The sequence below is a fragment of the Homo sapiens genome, chromosome 15 (assembly GCF_000001405.40).
Source record: "Homo sapiens chromosome 15, GRCh38.p14 Primary Assembly".
NCBI classification, from domain to species: domain Eukaryota; kingdom Metazoa; phylum Chordata; class Mammalia; order Primates; family Hominidae; genus Homo; species Homo sapiens.
Window position 1 is genome coordinate 85,214,664 of NC_000015.10, and position 18,686 is coordinate 85,233,349.

Genomic DNA, 18,686 nt, shown 5'->3' on the forward strand with positions numbered 1-18,686 from the left:
TTTCTGATTTAATTTCTAGTGATAAATACCAATAGATATAACCTACATACACAAAAGCTCCTTGGGCCCTCAATATACTTTTAAGAGTGTAAAGGAATCCTGACCCCAAAACTTTGAGAACTGCTGCCTTCCCCTCCACTTTATTCCTTCCCTAGAATTTCTTCCTTGGAAGAAACATTCCTTTGCCATTCTATGTTAACTTACATAGTTCCATTGAGGCCAGTTTTGCTACCTCTCTCCCATCTTTCCACATCCCTCTCTTGACACAAAACCTGACCAAAGGACTCTACCGGCCCACCCCATTTCCAGTGATTAGCTGTCAGGTGGGCTAAGCCAAGAAAATCTGGGTTTTCCCTGACACTAGACCTCTCTTTCTGGGAGATACGGAATCACAGGGACAAGGCTGGCCCTGTCAGAACTCATCTTGTCTAAATGGGAAGAGGTTAGGCAAGTTTCTAGAATGCCAGACTGCTTTCTAGAAAGTCAAAGATAATTATACTTTCTGCCACGACTGTGAAAATGCCCATTTCATTGCACGCTTTCTAACATTTATACCAATCTGATAAATAAAAGCTGGTACCTAGAAGAAAAAAAGGCTGGGTATGGTGGCTCATGCCTGTAATCCCAGTACTTTGGGAGACCAAGGTGAGTGGATCACCTGAGGTCAGGAGTTCGAGACAAGCCTGGCCAACATGATGAAACCCCATCTCTAGTAAAAACACAAACATTAGCCGGGCATGGTGGCAGGCCCCTGTAATCCCAACTACTCGGGAGGCTGAGGCAAGAGAATCACTTGAACCTGGGAGGTGGAGGTTTTAGTGAGCCAAGATCATGCCATTGCCCTCCAGCCTGGGTGACAAGGTGAGACTTTGTCTCAAAAAAAAAAAAAAAGTTTCCATACAATATAATTTGTTCCATCTCTAAAAACCAATTCAGCAATAACTGAAAGCCACCACTTGGAAGGTTTCAAGGATTTAGCTCTACCTGTTGATGATGTCCAAAGCATTAGTTAAGGTAGAAAAAAAATATACACACACACACACACACACACACACACACACACACACACACACACACTCACCCCTATGTAGTCAGTACCAGGAAACACGAAAGACTAGATGGTACAGTCATCCAACACAAAGCACACAATAACTGAAGGCACTGTAGAGGAGTAACTTATGACACAGATCTACAATATTGAGTGAAAATGCAGATTACAAAAAAAAATCTGATTTTTTAAGGGAGAGGGAACACATACAAGCAAAGGAGAAAAGAGATGAGCAGATGACTGAAAGATACAAAATTCTGATAGTGGTACATTCTGAGTGGTAGAATTATCAGTATTATTTTCTAGTTTTGCCTAAAAATTTTCTAAATTTCTTAAGAACTTTTTGTTATCCATATTATCAAATATCCATCACCCCAGGAAACTTAACCTTGAGCACAAACTCTACAACAAGTTCAATGTTTGTTCAGTTTAATATTTAAGAGACAACCTATTTTGAAAGACATCTAAAATGATGACCAATATTTAAACCTATGCATTAATATTTTTCAATCATATCCTTCACATTTTGTAATTTTGATAAGGTTAAGCTTTAGATCCATCTTGAAAAGATAAGTTTTCTGTTTGTCTTTAAAATATGACCCACAATATGCCTGTTTTTAAACAGTGAATGATGCTCTAAAATCACAATATAAATTCAGGCAGTGCTCCTTACATGGAAAGTTTAAGTACTTCTAACACTGCTCTTTTTCACTTGTTATGAAAACACAGAACAATTATCTAAGCATCTAATTATTCAGGTCCTTTGTTTCTCCTCCAATCTATTAGTTTTATAGTAATTTTAGGGCCTGTGAGGATGAAGCTGTCTGTGACAGCTACCACAAAGGTTACTATAGGTGGACAAATTTCAAACAAGTTTATCACCACTACCATCCCCACCATAAAACTGTCTCAATCAAGGGCAACACAATTCAATATTAGCCAAGACAACCTCTTTACCTGTCACTGCTTAAGGAAAGGATTTTTGGTCTTATTTAGAAATAACTTTCTGTACCTATTTTTCTCCATAAATCCACTGAGACCAATGTGTGGCTCTATCTCAAGCACCAGCAAGCAAAACTGCCTGCTAGAAGGTTCAGTTTTTGTATCTTTCCAAATGTAGAACACAGCTATCTTCAAGGATTTCATAATTTTTTGAAAATTGATGCACAAACTTCTTGAAAGTTCAGAGACACAGCAGCTGTAATTCTTCTGAAGGCTGGTTATGGGACGCATTACCTTCATACTTTGCTGTTTAAGAAATGTGGGGTGGAGAATCAAGTAAACTGATAGAATTTCCATATAAAATTCTAAGTGCTCTGAGAACAAAAGAAACTTAAAATACACACACACACACACACACACACACACACACACACACGGTTTTCCCTACTAATCATTTTACAACTAAACAACCAAGTTGCTAAACCAGAGCCCACAAAAGCAGAGTCAAAGTTCTAACACTTGGTAAAAGAAAAATGCACACATACCCCTGTGAGCTAAAAAAAAATGCTTAAGTATTCAAAGACAGCAATTACAGCTACTGAGAACATCACTGTAAGCAAACTGAGGCAGAGAAAACAAACGTGCTGATGAGGATTTGAACCACCTAAGCTGCAGAAACCCACTGGATGGTTTCCTAGGTTCCGAGTTGGCATTATCTTTCAGAACAATCTTCTAGAAGAGATCACATAACACTGTTACAAAGGATCTGGAGAAAGGGACCCTGGCTTCATCACTGTGGCTCTCCAGTCATGCTTTACATTTGGCAGTGACTATCTCCATTCAACTCAATTCCCTAACCCTAAACTAGCTGACATTTATCAAATACTGCCCTTTACCAGGTCTAAGTAAGTTTAACTCCCCCCACCCCCACCAAAAAAAATTCAAGATACTAAGGGATATACTATTCACAAAAGGGAAACCTGTCTCCTCTTCATATACCTGTTCCTTTCAAGGAAGGGTATAAAAATGGGGATGAGGGAGGATAACCACTAGGAATTTGACCCTATATTATAAATTGGTCAGATAAATGAAAATAATTCCTCTGGACTCAAAGTGATATGGCTCTGAAAACGGGAGAAACATCGGGGTCCTTTGTCTCACGCCAGTTAAACGACATGGACACACAGGAGTGGTTTTAAGGAGCAGAAAGTTTAATAGACAAGAAAGAAGAAAGGCTCCCTGCGGTACAGAAAAAGGGGGTCTGAACAGAGAAAAAGCCCCGTGTGTGGCAGAACAGTACTCGGTTATATTGGGAGGCTGGAGGAGGTGGTGTCTGATTTGCACAGGGCCCAGGGCATTGGTTTGACCAGGCAGGTCATTCATGTAGCCCGAGAAAAACGTGGCCCTCCCACCCTAGCCTTTTAATATGCAAATGTAGGTCACCATGTTGTCCTGCACACATGGGGTCATCTGGAGGTGTCACCTTGAGGTGGTGACTAGAAGAAGAGGGTGGGAATCTCCATGTTGAATGGACACAGTTTCTAAGTGCTGGCATTTGCATATCAAAGCTTGGCAGCCTGTAGTCCCAGCTACTCAGGAGGCTGAGGCAGGAGATTCACTTGAACCTGGGAGGCAGAGGCTGCAGTGAGCTGAGATCACACCACTGCACTCCAGCCTGGGTGACAGAGCAAGATTCCGTCTCCAAAAAAAAGATAAAAAGAAAAGAAAAAGAAATGTTTCTGGAGTTGTTTCTATTAAAAGGGAAAGCCTTACTGAGGCCTCCTTACCCTCTCTATCTGCCTAGTATAATTTCTGAATAACTCCTCTATTAAAAGTACCACTGAGGTGCTTAATATGACATTTCTGATATTTCCCAATGCTCCTCCACAAATTCAATTTGGAAAGGTAATCTGTTCCAGGAGGGCAAACCAAAGAAAAAGTCCTAGGCTCCTGAGTCAAGGCTTGTTTCTTTCCTTTGTACAAGCTGACTACTTTTTAATCATAGTAAAAATGAGAAAAATGCAAGATGAAGTTAACAGCATTGCTTTATTTCCCATGAAAAGCTGTTATAAAGCATTCTCAAAATAAACTGTTATTCAGCCACAAATGACACCATCACTTTTTTATTCATAGGGCACAGTATCGCTGCCAAAGAGCTTTCCTCTATATGCTCTCTTGCAGGGCAAAAAATATTATCTATGTTATACAGAAACACAGTAAAAAAAGTGATTTACTTAAGGTCCTAACTACTAAATAAAAGCTAAACTACTCACTTCCTCCTAGATTCAGAGAGAGCTCCAACATTTTCTAAAATTTGGTATCTTGTTGTTGGGGTAGGCACTTTTTGGCAATAATGAATAGACATTTAATTAGCCAATCAAAAAAACTTATTAGGTACAGTAAGTTCCTCTTCAAAGGTTTAACCTGTTCAACTTCCTTGTTCTTTGTTCCTAAGAACAATTTCCCTGTACCTTCTCACCCCTATTTACCTGCTTAGTTATCTGCTCAGTTACCTGCCTTGTAAACAACTCTTCCCATCAGTCCCAACCTGTAACTCACATTCCCTCTCCCTTCCTTATTAGGGAGAATATTCGCGATAGCAAATCAAGTCTGCTTAGATTGTGTAGTCCGACTCCAGCCCATGTGGGAATGACAGAGAGGTAGGGACTGCGTTAGGGATATAAACTCCTGCTCTATCCTGCTCGGTGTGCTCTTGCATTCGTGACTAATGCAAACAGCACTCTTTTGCAGAAGTAAGTTGTCTTGCTGAGAAAACTTTTTTTCCTGAGTGCTGGTTCTTCCTTGCAGCACTGATCATTTGTTTCTTTTTTCTTTCTTTTTTTTTTTTTTTTTTTGAGACAGAGTTTCGCTCTGTTGCCCAGGGTGGAGCACAGTGGCTTGATCTCAGCTCACTGCAAGCTCCACCTCCCAGGTTCACGCCATTCTCCTGCCTCAGCCTCCTGAGTAGCTGGGACTACAGGCACCCACCACTGCGCCCAGCTAATTTTTTTGTATTTTTTTTTTTTTAGTAGAGACGGCATTTCACCATGTTAGCCAGGATGGTCTCGATCTCCTGACTTCATGATCCGCCCACCTCGGCCTCCCAAAGTGCTGGGATTACAGGGGCGAGCCACTGCGCCCAGCCTGATCATTTGTTTCTAACAATCTGGGGGCTCGTCCGGAATTCCCATTCTCCTCTGAGAAAAGGGTCTCCAGTCACCAATAGTGAGGAGAAGCATCCCACTGCCTCATTGAGGTGGCCTCATGGTGAGGGATCAGGACCCACCCAGTGTGATGAATAAACCCGGACTCTCAGCAGTCTGGAAAGGAACAGACCAACAACTTAAGAGAAAAGGATCCTCACATACCATGGTGACCAGGTAACTATGTGCACAGACCAACGTAAGAAACATCACAAGAGCGACAAAGTATTTTCTTGGTGGTTGGGATATCTTGGAGATTGAAAGTGTGTGTTGAGACTCACAATTGAGTGCAAAGCAAGTGTTCAGTCCAGATCTGCAGTTCTGTGGTCACCTTATACAGCTTAAGGTAGCCTTTCTGTAAAGGAGTCTGGGTCAGGGGTTTCTACTGAAACAGCCATTGCTAAGAGGAAACCAACGTTCCCGTGAGGGAAGCAGCCAGAGAAGGATGAAGCGAAAGGAGAAAAGTGCAAGAAACCTCCAGCAGGGGGGTTGAGCCTCTAGGAAAGGAAAGGAAAGGAAAGGAAAGGTGAGAAATCTCCAGTAGGAGAGGTTGAGCCTTATACAAACCTCTCGTAACTGGGAAGAAATTTCTAGTAGGGGAAATTGAGCCTCACCCCAATCCCTTTTCAAGATGGGAAATACCTCAAGTAATGCAGGGGAGAAAAAGGATAAAGCTAGCAACAATAACATTCCTCCTGATAGTCCCCTAGGGCTTATGCTAAAATATTGGAAAGAGAGTGAAAGGACTAAATACAAGAAAAAGCAGCAAATGATAAAATATTGTTGTTTCATTTGGACTCAGGAATCAATCCTGAAAAGCAAGTCAGAAATTAACTCCTCTGAGAAAGATAAGGTCCCTGTTCCTAGACAGCTCACCAACACATGGAACTTCCTCCACCACCTTCCCCCGTCCAATACCCCTAACCTCCCTCCCCCTCAAGCAGAGGCAGTTGTCCCAGACCCTTCTCCTACCCACATTGTTCCCCCTCTTTATAACCCTGCCTCTTGGGAATTGTCCCAACAGCCTGCTCACTATCACCCTAAGTACTCTTCCCTGAAAGGACTTCAATGTGAGATAGAGCAATGTAAAAGGGATATTCAGAACTTCCCCTTCCCCTCTACCTCGGGAGAATTAGCTCCACCTCTCTTCCCCTGAAGAGAGGTGTCCCTACGAGGAGGAGGTATTCACTTTGTAAATGCTCCTTTAACCAGCTCGGAGGTCCAAAACCTAAAAACAGAGTTCAAGCCACACTATTAGACAACTCCAGTGGAATAGCAGATCGAATTAACCAATTTCTAGGACCACAGTTATATATACTTGGGCTGAGTTAATGTCCATCCTAGGCATCCTTTTCTCAGGGGAAGAAAGAAGCATCATCTGTAGAGCTGCTATGGTAGCCTGGGAACATGAACACCCTCCTGGCCAAAACATTCATGCAGCGGATCAAAAATTCCCCAACCAAGACCCCTGCTGGGACAATAATAACGCAGCCCACTGAAGAGGATACGCAAGAACTTAGGGAAATGATAATAAAAGGGATTCGGGAGTCAGTACTCCGAACCCAAAATCTTACTCGAGCATTCGACATACAACAAAGGAAAGATGAAGGGCCTATCGAACTTTTAGACAGGTTGAAAGAACAAATGAGAAAATATGCTGGCCTAGATTTAGAAGATCCTCTTAGGCAGTGAATGTTAAAGCTTCATTTTGTTACTAACAGCCAGATATCACAAGGAAATTACAAAAGATAGGAAATTGGAAGGACCATCCCACGAACGAGCTTCTTAGAGAAGCTCAGAAAGTGTGTGTAAGGAGGGATGAGGAGAAGCAAAAAGAAAAAATGAAAATTATGTTATCCACCTTCCAACAGGGGGCCCCAAAGGATAAAACACACCAGTATTACTCTCTGTTACCCAGAGACCCACACACTCCCAAACAAAGCCTCCCGAGAGCCAAAACCTATAAAGATCCTAGGCCCCCACTTCCTAAGCCATATAAAGAACATAAGGAGGCAAAGCCGAGAAACCCAAAAATAGAGAGAAGAGACAGAATCAATGCTTCAATTGTGAGAAAGTAGGCCACTTCAAGAGGTATTGTCCCAAATTAAAATCAGAAAGAGAAGTCATCCCACTTACGACCTTTGAGGAGGAATAGGGGGGTTAGGGGCTCTGTCTCTTTTACCTTGAATCCCACCAAGAGCCCTTGATAAATTTAGAAGTGGAACCCAAATCTGAGCTTATGACCTTTTTAGTAGACTCAGGAGCAGCCTGCTCCTCTGTTTGTTACCTTCCCCCACAATATAACCTGGTCCTCAGAGGAGCTTGTAGTCTCAGGGGTAAAAGGAGAGGGAATCAAACTAAAAATTTTAAAAGAAACAGAAATTAGATGTAAAAACTGCTCAGCTAATGTTGAATTTTTGTTAATTTCAGAGGCAGGAACTAATCTATTAGGAAGAAACTTAATGTTAAAATTAGGTATAGGTTTACGTATTGGCTCAGAAGGATTCTACACTTCATTAAACCTGCTCACCACTGCAGAAGAAACATACATTCATCCTGATGTTTGGGCAAGGGAAGGAAATTGGGGAAAACTCCAAATTCCCCCTATACATATAAAGTTAAAAACCCCTGGAGAAATAGTAAGAAGAAAGCAATATCCTATTCCTTTAGAAGGCAGAATAGGCCTGAAACCTGTAATTGAAAGCCTCATCAAGGATGGGCTCCTTGAACCCTGTATGTCCCCTTATAACACCCCAATACTGCCTGTGAAGAAACCAGATAGGTCATGTCGACTAGCATAAGACCTCTGGGCCATCAACCAGACAGTCTAGACTACCCATCCTGTTGTCCCTAATCCTTAAACCATTCTCAGTAAAATTCCATATGAACATCAATGGTTTACAGTAATAGGTTTAAAAGATGCCTTTTGAGCATGCTCCTTGGATGAGGAGAGCTGAGACATTTTTGCTTTCGAATGGGAAGATCCCCATTCTGGATGACAGCAACAGTATCGATAGACAGCTCTACCCCCGGGCTTCACAGATTCCCCTAATCTCTTTGGTCAAATTCTAGAACAAGTGTTAGAACAAGTTTATACCCCAAAATGTATATGTCTGCTCCAGTACGTAGATGACTTATTAATATCCGGTTAGGCTATAGAAAAGGTATCTGCTTTCTCCATCCATATCCTTAACCATTTGTAAGGAGAGGGGCTATGGGTTTCAAAGAGAAAGCTTCAATTCATAGAGCCTGAAGTTAAATACCTAGGACACTTAATAAGTAACGGCAAACGAAGGATAGGGCCTGAGAGGGTTGAAGGGATTGTATCCATACCTTTGCCTAAGACTAAACAAGAACTCAGAAAATTCCTAGGGATAGCCGGATATTGCCGCTTATGGATTGACTCATATGCCCTTGTCATAAAGCCTCTCTACCTAAAAATCACCCAAGAAAAGCCTGACCCTCTCCTCTGGACTTCTGAAGAACTCCACCAGGTTGAGGAGCTAAAACATCTGCTTATAACTGCCTCTGTTTTAGCTTTGCCTTCCCTAGAAAAGCCATTTCACCTTTCTGTTAACATAAATAAGGGGGTAGCTTTAGGGGTCCTTACCCAAGAACACGGAGGTCACCAGCAACCCATGGATCTCCTATCAAAAGTTTTAGATCCAGTAACCTGTGGATGGCCTGAATGTTTCAATCCATTGCAGCTACCGCCTTGTTAACTAAAGAAAGCAGAAAACTAACCTTTGGGGGAAAGTTAGTTGTAAACATGCCCCATCAGGTTAGAGCCATCTTAAATTAAAAGGCAGGAAGGTGGCTTACTGACTTGAGAATTTTAAAGTATGAAGCTATCCTGTTAGAAAGAGATGATTTAACACTAACCACTGATAATTCACTTAACCCAGAGGTTTCCTGACTGGAGATTCAAATCTAAAGAGACCTGAGCATGAGTGTTTAGATTTAATGATCATACAAAAGTTAGGCCTGATTTAAGAGAGACCCCTTACAAAACGGGGCAGGGCTTCTTTATAGATGGCTCTTCCCAAGTAATTGAAGGAAAAAGGCGTAATAGGTACTCAGTAGTAGATGGGGAGGCACTTGAAGAAGTAGAGTCAGGAAGCCTGCCAAATAATTGGTCTGCCCAAACATGTGAATGAATTGTTTGCATTAAATCAAGCCTTAAAGCACTTGCAAAACCAAGAACGGACTATTTATACTGATTCCAAGTATGCCTTTGGGGCAGCTCACACCTTTGGAAAAATTTGGACTGAACGAGATCTTATTAATAGCAAAGGCCAAGACCTGGGCCACAAAGAATTAATCACCCAAGTATTAGATAACCTGCAGCTGCCAGAATAGCTATTGTCCATGTTCCAGGACATCAGAAAGGTCTTTCTTTTCAAAGCGGAAGGAATAACCTAGCAGATCAAATAGCCAAACACACTGCCGTTTCCTCTGAAAATGCCTGTTTTTCACTTAGCCCCTTGCCTTCCTCCCTCGACTGCAGTCCCCATCTTTTCTCCCGCTGAAAAGGAAAAATTAATAAAAATAGGAGCCAAAGAAAATTCAGAAGGGAAATGGGTGTCACCAGACCAAAGAGAAATGTTATCCAAACCCCTCATGAGGGAAATCCTCTTTCATCTGCATCAAGGGACTCATTAGGGACCTCAAGCTAAGTGTGATGCAGTCCTCGGGGTCTACAGATGTATAGGAATTTACATTTTGGCAAGACAAGTTACAGATAGTTGCCTAGTATGTAAGAAGACTAATAAGCAGATCCTCAGAAAACCACCTGTTGGAGGGAGAAATCCAGGATTAAGGCTGTTCCAAAGTGTCCAAATTGATTATGCCGAAATGCCCCCAATTGGTCACTTAAAATATTTATTAGTGATAGATCACCTTACTCATTGGGTAGAAGCTATTCCCTTTTCAAGTGCAACTGCTAGTAATGTACTCAAGGCATTAGTTGAAAATATTATACCCAGGTTTGGATTAATAGAAAATGCTGATTCAGACAACAGGACTCATTTCACTGCACATGTTCTTAAGAAACTAGCCCAAGTACTAGATATAACATGGGACTACCATAACCCCTGGCACCCACCTTCATCAGGAAGAGTAGAAAGAATGAATCAGACTCTGAAAAACCACCTAACCAAATTAGTCCTAGAGACTCGGTTGCCATGGACTAAATGCCTCCCCATGGCCTTGTGAAGATTCCAAACTGCCCCTAGGAAAGATGTCAGCTCACCTCCTTATGAAATGCTGTATGAGTTGCCTTATCTACACTCCACTGCTGACATTCCTCGTTCGAAACAAAAGATCTGTTTCTCAAGAACTATATACTTGGTCTATCCTCCACTTTCTCTTTCCTTAGGACTAAAGGCCTCTTGGCACATACACCACCCCTTGAATTTCCAGTTCACCACCACCAGCCCGGACAGTGATCACATTCTCATCAGAGGTCAGAAAGAAAGGAAGCTCAAGCCCACCTGGGAGGGACATTATCTAGTGTTTCTAATGACTGAGACAGCCGTCCACACCACTGAAAAAGAATGGACTCACCATACCTGAGTCAAAAGAGCACCACCCACTCCAGAATCATGGACAGCTATTTCAGGGCCAATTCCAACCAAGTTAAAGCTAAAACGGGTTTGATCCTCTTATGCTATATTTCTTTTCCCCTTCTATTGCTAGTCCTCTCGTTATTAATGTAACTAGGTCGAGCTCACCCCAAACTATTACCTTTGATGCTTGCCTTGTTATATCCTGTGGAGATCTCCAAAGTCAAAAGCAACTCTCAGCCTCAGAGAAGTATCTCCGTCCCTTTCAGACAAAAGCCTCCCCCATTACGACTCTTGTTCCTTAAGAAATGTAGGGAAACAGGCCTGCCACAGCTGGAATGATATTATGTGGACAACTGAACATCAGGGCTTTGTCAACAGGCAGTTGTAAGTCTCTAAAACCATGTTTGCTTTGTTAAAGGAAACATTCCCCACCCCGACTGCCAGTATAACCAATGTAATCCAGTGCAAATTTCTATTCTTATCCCCACTTCTGCCAACCCTAAACCTACTTTAAGTCGCTTATACGGCATAGGAGCCAAAATAGCAGGGACACATCTTATAGAATCCTTTGAAATGCATTTCATTACTTTCTCACCTCCTCCACCTCCTTCTACACTCTCTCTCAACGAAACCACTGTTCTTCCTTCAACCAAGGATAAAATCAAGGTAAGCCATTGTAGAAGTTAAAAATTTGAAACAAACCATAGCAACTGAGACAGGGTACCAAGATGCAAATGCTTGGTTAGAATGGATTAAATATTCTGTCCGCACTCTAAACAAAAGCAACTGTTACACTTGTGCGCACAGTAGGCCAGAGGCCCAGGTTGTCCCCTTTCCACTCGGATGGTCTTCCAGCCAACTGGGCATGAGCTGTATGGTAGCTCTTCTCCAAGACCCCACAGCCTGGGGTAATGAATCTTGCCAAGCTCTCTCTCTGCTATTCCCTAAAGTCCAACACCCTGCAGGTCAGTCCCTGAGGGCCATCCAGCCTCCATCTATTGACACCAATTTTTACCTCGGGTCTCTCACAACAAGGGGAAAACTTGGCATTTCATGAAGACCTAAAGGGATGCGGTGAACTTAAACTCTCCCAAGAGCTTACCAGTCAGTCTGCCCTTGTTCATCCTCGAGCATACGTATGGTGGTATTGTGGTGGACCCTTACTGGACACTCTGCCAAGTAACTGGAGTGGTACTTGTGCTCTAGTCCAACTGGCCATCCCTTTCACCCTAGCATTCCATTAACATAATAGAAGAGAAAATCAGAAGAGAAGAAGTGACCTTCATGGGTCCTTTGACTCCCACGTTTATAAAGATGCTACTGGAGTTCCACGAGGGGTACCAGATAAATTTAAGGCCCGAAATCAAACAGCTTCAGGATTTGAATCTGTGCTGTTTTGGTGGTCAACTGTAAATAAAAATGTAGATTGGATAAACTACATTTATTACAACCAACAAAGGTTTGTTAACTACACAAGACATGCCATTAAGGGAACAGCCTCCCAATTAGGTCCCATTAACTAAATAGTCTGGGAAAACAGGATAGCCCTAGATACGATGCTAGCAGAAAAAGGTGGTGTCTGTGTCATGATTGGAGTCCAATGATGTACTTTTATTCCTAATAACACAGCCCCTGACGGAACAGTAACAAAAGCTTTGCAGGACCTAACCTCCTTATCCAATGAGTTAGCAAGCAATTCTGGAATAAATGATCCCTTTACAAGTTTAATGGAGAAATGGTCTGGAAAATGGAAAGGCTCAATGTCCTCAATATTTACTTCTCTTGCAATCGTTATAGGTGTGCTTATTCTTGTTGGATGCTGTATCATACCATACATTTGTGGACTACTGCAAAGACTCATAGACACAGAACTTACCAAAACCTCTCTTAGCTCTCCTCCACCCTATTCAGATAAGCTTTTCCTTCTAGAAAACCAAGCAGAACAGCAAAGCAAAGACATGCTAAAAAAGTTTGAAGAGGAAGAATTACAAAAATTAAGAGGGGGGAATTGTTAGGTACAGTAAGTTCCTCTTCAAAGGTTTAACTTGTTCAACTTCCTTGTTCTCTGTTCCTAAGAACAATTTCCCTGTACCTTCTCGACCCTACTTACCAGCTTAGTTACCTGCTTAGTAACCTGCCTTGTAAACAACTCTTCCTACCAGCCCCAATCTGTAACTCACATTCCCCCTCCCTTTCTTATTAGAGAAAATATTCACAATATCCAGCTGAGTCAGCTAAGATTGTGCAGTCCTACCCCAGCCCATGTTGGAATGACACAGAGGTAGGGAGTGCATTAGGGATAAGAACCCCTGCTCCACCCCGTTTGGTGTGCTCTTGCAATCATGACTAATGCAAGCAGCATACTTGCAGAAGCAAATTGTCTTGCTGAGAAAACTTTTTTGCCTGAGTGCTGCTTCTTCCTCACAGCACCAATCATTTGTTTCTAACAATCTCGCTAAAAGCAGCCTAGAAAGCAGCCACTTATGCAGAAAGAGTAATAATTTATGCTCTACAAGTCATATAAAAAATGAAGTTTCATTTGTTTACCGGCTAATTTACTTCCTGGGAGACATTTTTCATTCTAAAACAGTGATTCCCTACCAAGAGTTCATAGATGCCAAGAAGTCCATAAAAGGCGTAATGGAATTGCCAAATTATGTTAAATACTTCAAAAGGACTCAAAGCCATATACTAGTTCCCAATAGGCCTGCACAAGTTATTAGAACAAGCTGCTTTGCATTCTTGTGTGATCAGAACCAGTAACTAGATGGCAATCAGGTCTGTTACTGAAGATGGAAAAACTATACTTAAGTTTGTATAACAATCTTTCATAACATGGCTTCACAGAAAAGAAGTATAAAAAGGATTCCTTGGTTGAAAAAGAGTGCTCTTTTCCCTTCATTATTTAAGATTAGGGCAAATTTATAAAACAGGAAAAAAATAGCACAAATCCCTTGGCAAACAGAGTAAAACATCTACTCTGTTTTGCTTTTTTTCACTTCTTACACTCTCTTTCATAGGAAGTCAATTTACAGACTTCCATCAAGCCCTTAGAGACCTTTTTGTACTATCCATGACAAGCTCTTGATGTTATCTCTGCACTTTTGACAAATTCTTAGCAGTTAACTTACAAGGCAGTTAAGATTTTTGTTCAAGCACAATATAGCTAGAATAGGCTCATACATTCAATAAAACAAATATTTACCAAGCATTTATTGAGTGGAAGATAAAAAGCACAAAGCATAATTATAAAATATTTTCCCCTGCCACCATAAAAAAATTAAACAGGCTTACAGAATACAGTGTAAGAAAACATGACCAAAGCAAAAATAGTAAGGACTAAAGAAGGGAGGAAGGGGAAATATCAACATGGACTGAATATGACCCAAAAGAGCCTTGATGGATGGTCAGACATGTAAAGGCAAATTGGTTAGGGTTAAGGGGTGGAGGTCAGGGCACGTTCTATAGGGAAACGGCAGCTGATACAGAAGCCTGAAAGGAAAAGCGGGCAGAGCACCTGGACAGGACTCTTCAGGAACGAGCACGCACGTGCGTGAAAAACAACTTAGTGAGGTACCGTTCACCCAAACATTAGAGAAACCGCGTAAAAATGCTTCTTGGTAAGCATGAAGAAGGCAGGGCTCGCCCTGTAGAAGAACTCAATAAACATTTGAACTGTCTAAAGAGTAAAAGTTAATGAATAGGCCAAACTCACTCCTTTCTTTGTTTTAAGAGCTACAACTTTAGAGAATAACAAATCACAAACCCAGTAGACAGGTCCTGGCATTTCAAATCCAACCCCATTTTTCCCTTAATCTTTCCCCTCTGAGCAAATGGTATCGACATGAACAAGCCATGTTGATTTGATCAAGACACTCATCCATGGTTAAAAGAGTCTTTACTTTCAAGAGATACAAACAGAAATATTTACATGGGCTAATTTACTGGGCAACAAGAGAGAAACTCCGTCTCAAAAAAAAAAAAGGAAATAAAAGCATACAAAGTGAAAACAAAGAAATTAAACTGCCCTTATTTGCCAGTGACATTACTGTCTATGCACAAAATTCCAAAAATCTACAAAAAAGCTTCTAGTACTAAAAATGAGTTTAGCAAGGTTGTAGAATCCAAGGTCAGCATATAACATAAAATCACCTTCCTATATACTAGCAATCACCAACTGGAAATTGAGAAGTATCATTCACAACAGTACCACAAACATGAAATAAATGTGTAAGATTACAAAATACAAGCAAGATCCAACTGCTAAAAACTACAAAACACTGACGAAAAATCTAAGAAGGTCTAAATAAATAGATATACCATGTTCATGGCTCATTATTAAAATGTCAGTTGCCTCCTAACTGATTTCCAGTTTCAATGCAATGTCAATCAAAAACCCCAGCAGGCTCTCACGCCTGTAAGCCCTACACTTTGGGAGACCATGGTGGGAGGATTGCTTCATCCCGGGAGTTTGAGACCAGGCTGGGCAACATAGAAAGACCCTGTCTCTACAAAAATAAAAAAATTAGCCAGGCATGGCGGTGCATGCATGTGATCCCAGCTACTTGGGAGGCTGAGGTGGGATAATCGCTTGGTTCAAGGCTGCAGTGAGCAGTGATCCTGCCACTGCGTTTCAGCCTGGGCAACTGAGTGGGACACTTTTTTTTTTTTTTTTTTTTTTTTTTTTGAGACAAGGTCTCGCTCTGTCGACCAGGCTGGAGTGAAGTGGTGCAATCTCGGCTCACTGCAACCTCCATCTCCTGGGTTCAAGTGATTCTCCTGCCTCAGCCTCCCAAGTAGCTGGGATTACAGGTGCCCGCCACCATGCCCAGCTAATTTTTCTGTTTTTAGTAGAAACGGGGTTTCACCATGTTGGCCAGGCTGGTCTTGAACTCCTGAACTCAAGTGATCCACCCGCCTCGGCCTCCCAAAGTGCTGGGATTACAGGCATGAGCCACCGCACCAGGCCATGAAACACTTTCTTCCACCCACGGCTTTCTCTTCTCTCCCCATTTACAGCAGTAAGACAGCCTAACCTGGGAAAGAGAGAGAGAGGGAAGCTACTTCCAAATGGATGCCTGTCCCCATCAGTAATAACCAAGTCTATTCAAGTGCTAGATGTTAACTTTAAAAGAAGGAAACATCAAAAGTCCAAGTTTCAGCCGGGTGCAGTGGCTCATGCCTGTAATCCCAGCACTTTAGGAGGCTGAGGCGGGTGGATCACGAGGTCAGGAGTTCAAGACCAGCCTGGTCAATATGGTGAAACCCCGTCTCTACTAAAAATAAAAAATTAGTCAGGCATGGTGGCGTGTGCCTGTAGTCCCAGCTACTCGGGAGAGGCAGAAGATTCGCTTCAACCGGGGAAGCAGAGGTTGCAGTGAGCCAAGATCGTGCTACTGCACTCCAGCCTGGGTGACAGAGCGAGACTCCGTCTCAAAAAAAAAAAAAAAGTCCAGGTGTCTTCGCCTAGCTTTGTCAGGAATGTTTTTACCCTCAGTCTGTAAGTGTGACCAAATATATTTTTTAAAGGTTTACCCTCAATCTGTTAAGTTCAAAGGTTTACTATAATCTCTTCATAAGAAAACTATTGGAAAGATGGAATAAAATACACAGAAATGTCCTTAACAGGTAAATATTTATTTTTCTTTCTTATTATTATACTTTAAGTTCTGGGGTATATGTGCAGAACGTGCAGGTTTGTTGCATAGGTACACACGTGCCATGGTGGTTTGCTGCACCCATCAACTCGTCATCTACACTAGGTATTTCTCCTAATGCTATCCCTCCCCTAGCCCCCCAACCCCCAACAGGCCCCAGTGTGTGATGTTCCCCCCTCCCTGTGTCCGTGTGTTCTCACTGTTCAACTCCCACTACAGGTGAATATTTCTAGAATGTATCTACTCCATCAGCTAGTGTAAGTATTCTAAACTGTGCTAGTATAGCTGCTTTAAATCACTGCTTTCTTCTGCAAATGGTGGCACCTTTAAAGTGTTATCTTGAAGGGGAAGTGAGTGATTTGCTCATGTCTCTACTGAACTAACACTGTTAACACCCAGTCCAGTTCTACCTTAAACAAGTCGGAGAAATACAGACATAATCCATACTTGTTATTTGTCAAGACTAAGGTAAAATAAGGAAAGTTGGAACTCACTCATATCCTCTTATGACTGATGTACTGAAAACAATCCATCTCTCACCATTTCCTAAATAGCATAGTCACAAAGAGCTCTACCCTACCAAGTACTCTGCAAGTCCCACTCTCAAAGGAAGACTCACAGGTGACTGAGAAGATAAATTTGCTATTGTTTCCATTATCCTTCAGTTCATCTGACACCTTTGAAGAAACGCATTTGGATAAGACTCACAAGTCTCAGGGCCCCTTCTTTATGAAAGAAATAGCTAAGCCTCCATACTCAGAAGCATCAGACTTTTCAGAATGCTTAAGTCATGTAAAAACGTATCAAAATTATTATCATTACAGCTACCAGGAAATAGCTACCTACTCCATGTTAGATACTGCAGTTAAGTATCTCACACAGTTTCACTGATTCCTAACAACACTGCAAAGCATGTTACTAACCCTTAAGGAGTAGGAAGCTGAAGCTCTGAGAGGCTATGCAACTACTCAATGGAAATGTGGGGATCTGAACTCTACCTAGCTCCAAAGGGCGTACTTTTTTCTAAAATTTCTAATTTTTTTCCAATTTCACAATGGAGGCAGAGTTTTCACTACAATTTTAATAATTTCACCAGCTGGGTGGGGTGGCTCACGCCTGTAATTCCAGTACTGTGGGAGGCTGAGGTGGGAGGACGGCTTGGGTCCCAGGAAGACAACTGGGCAACAGTGAAGATTCTGACTCTAAAAAAAATAAGAATTTCACCAAAAGGGGGGACAGATTTCTAAATCGGAATCTCTTGTTAAAATCCTTAGAGCACTAGTTAAGCCCCACTTCTTTTCAAAAAATAACCGACAGATTAAAAAAAAGGTTAGAAGTCCTTTTAAAGTAAATTTCATCAGAGATCTGCAAGTGAATTGTCATTTTGGACAAGTCCCCAGAGTTGGTGGCCCTCTCCTGTGTACACCAGCTACCACTAGGCAGTAAAAGTAATTTACCCAATTCAAACACATACCGTGCCTGCACTATGTTAAGACCACTGGCAAAGAGGGTACAAAGTTAAATAAGGTCTATCACAGCCCTCAAGGAGTTAAAGGACTAGAGGAGGAGTCCATTTATAGTATAGTATGTGTGCAGTTACCATTTAGTCAAGGCAAACGAACTGTGAGAAATCCTACAACAATAGTACCTACAGTATAACATGCCATCACCGCCCACAGAAGGAAAGCAACTGGTGCCCTCGTCACGTTATGTTGTTAGTACTTGCTTACATGATGTCCCTCCCTGACAATCCCTTCCAACCTCTGTCAGCCTCCTTCCCCACAATCACACACACACACAAAACCACACTGCCAGGAAGGGAAGCCATTGAGTGAGTATTGTGAATCCTACAAGTGGCTCTGTAGTTTAAAAGGGCAATGCCTGTGCCTGAAGAAAATTTGTCTTTAGCTTCATCAGGTGAAGAAAATTGGTTTTATAACACAAGGCCCACCAAACCAGAAAAGCCCAGGAACGCTTCTCCACAGGACTCACTTAGCACGAGAAATCACTCAGAGCAAACTGACGCACACAGTATTTGTCAAATTTTTCTTTTTCATTTAGCAGAAGGTAAGGTAAAGGACTACAACTGAAGTTAATAAATGACACTCTAGCCATTTGGATCATTTGTCACTATAAATGATAGACATTTAAGCTAGTTCCATCTGGGGAAGTGAAACAGAATCATGTTCATATAATAAGCCAGACGAACCAAATTCAGTGGAATACGTGCACCCAAAACTGGACCAGACTTGTACTTAATGCAGCCTGC

The 18,686-nt window shown here is 41.8% G+C and overlaps 1 long non-coding RNA gene and 2 pseudogenes across 5 annotated transcripts in view, besides 1 other annotated feature; 1 reads left to right on the forward strand and 2 right to left on the reverse strand.

The window, feature by feature from the left end:
* LOC727751 (golgin A2 pseudogene) overlaps positions 1-18,686 on the reverse strand; it is a 31,360-nt pseudogene that overhangs the window by 11,215 nt on the left and 1,459 nt on the right.
* Positions 1-18,686, reverse strand: part of LOC101929479 (golgin A2 pseudogene) — a 29,789-nt pseudogene that overhangs the window by 9,657 nt on the left and 1,446 nt on the right. The gene's annotated exons all lie outside the window — the stretch shown is intronic.
* Positions 5,042-12,198, forward strand: LOC105370948 (uncharacterized). The gene is made up of 2 exons (XR_932566.3): positions 5,042-5,370; positions 10,571-12,198. It is a non-coding gene; the product is annotated as an uncharacterized LOC105370948 (long non-coding RNA).
* Positions 15,290-15,512: a silencer, noted in NCBI's record as "fragment chr15:85773184-85773406 (GRCh37/hg19 assembly coordinates)". NCBI's record gives its function as "represses an EF-1alpha promoter that drives an FKBP-Casp9 reporter gene in an ReSE screen in K562 erythroleukemia cells {active_cell/tissue: K562}" and the evidence as "EXISTENCE:reporter gene assay evidence [ECO:0000049][PMID:32094911]".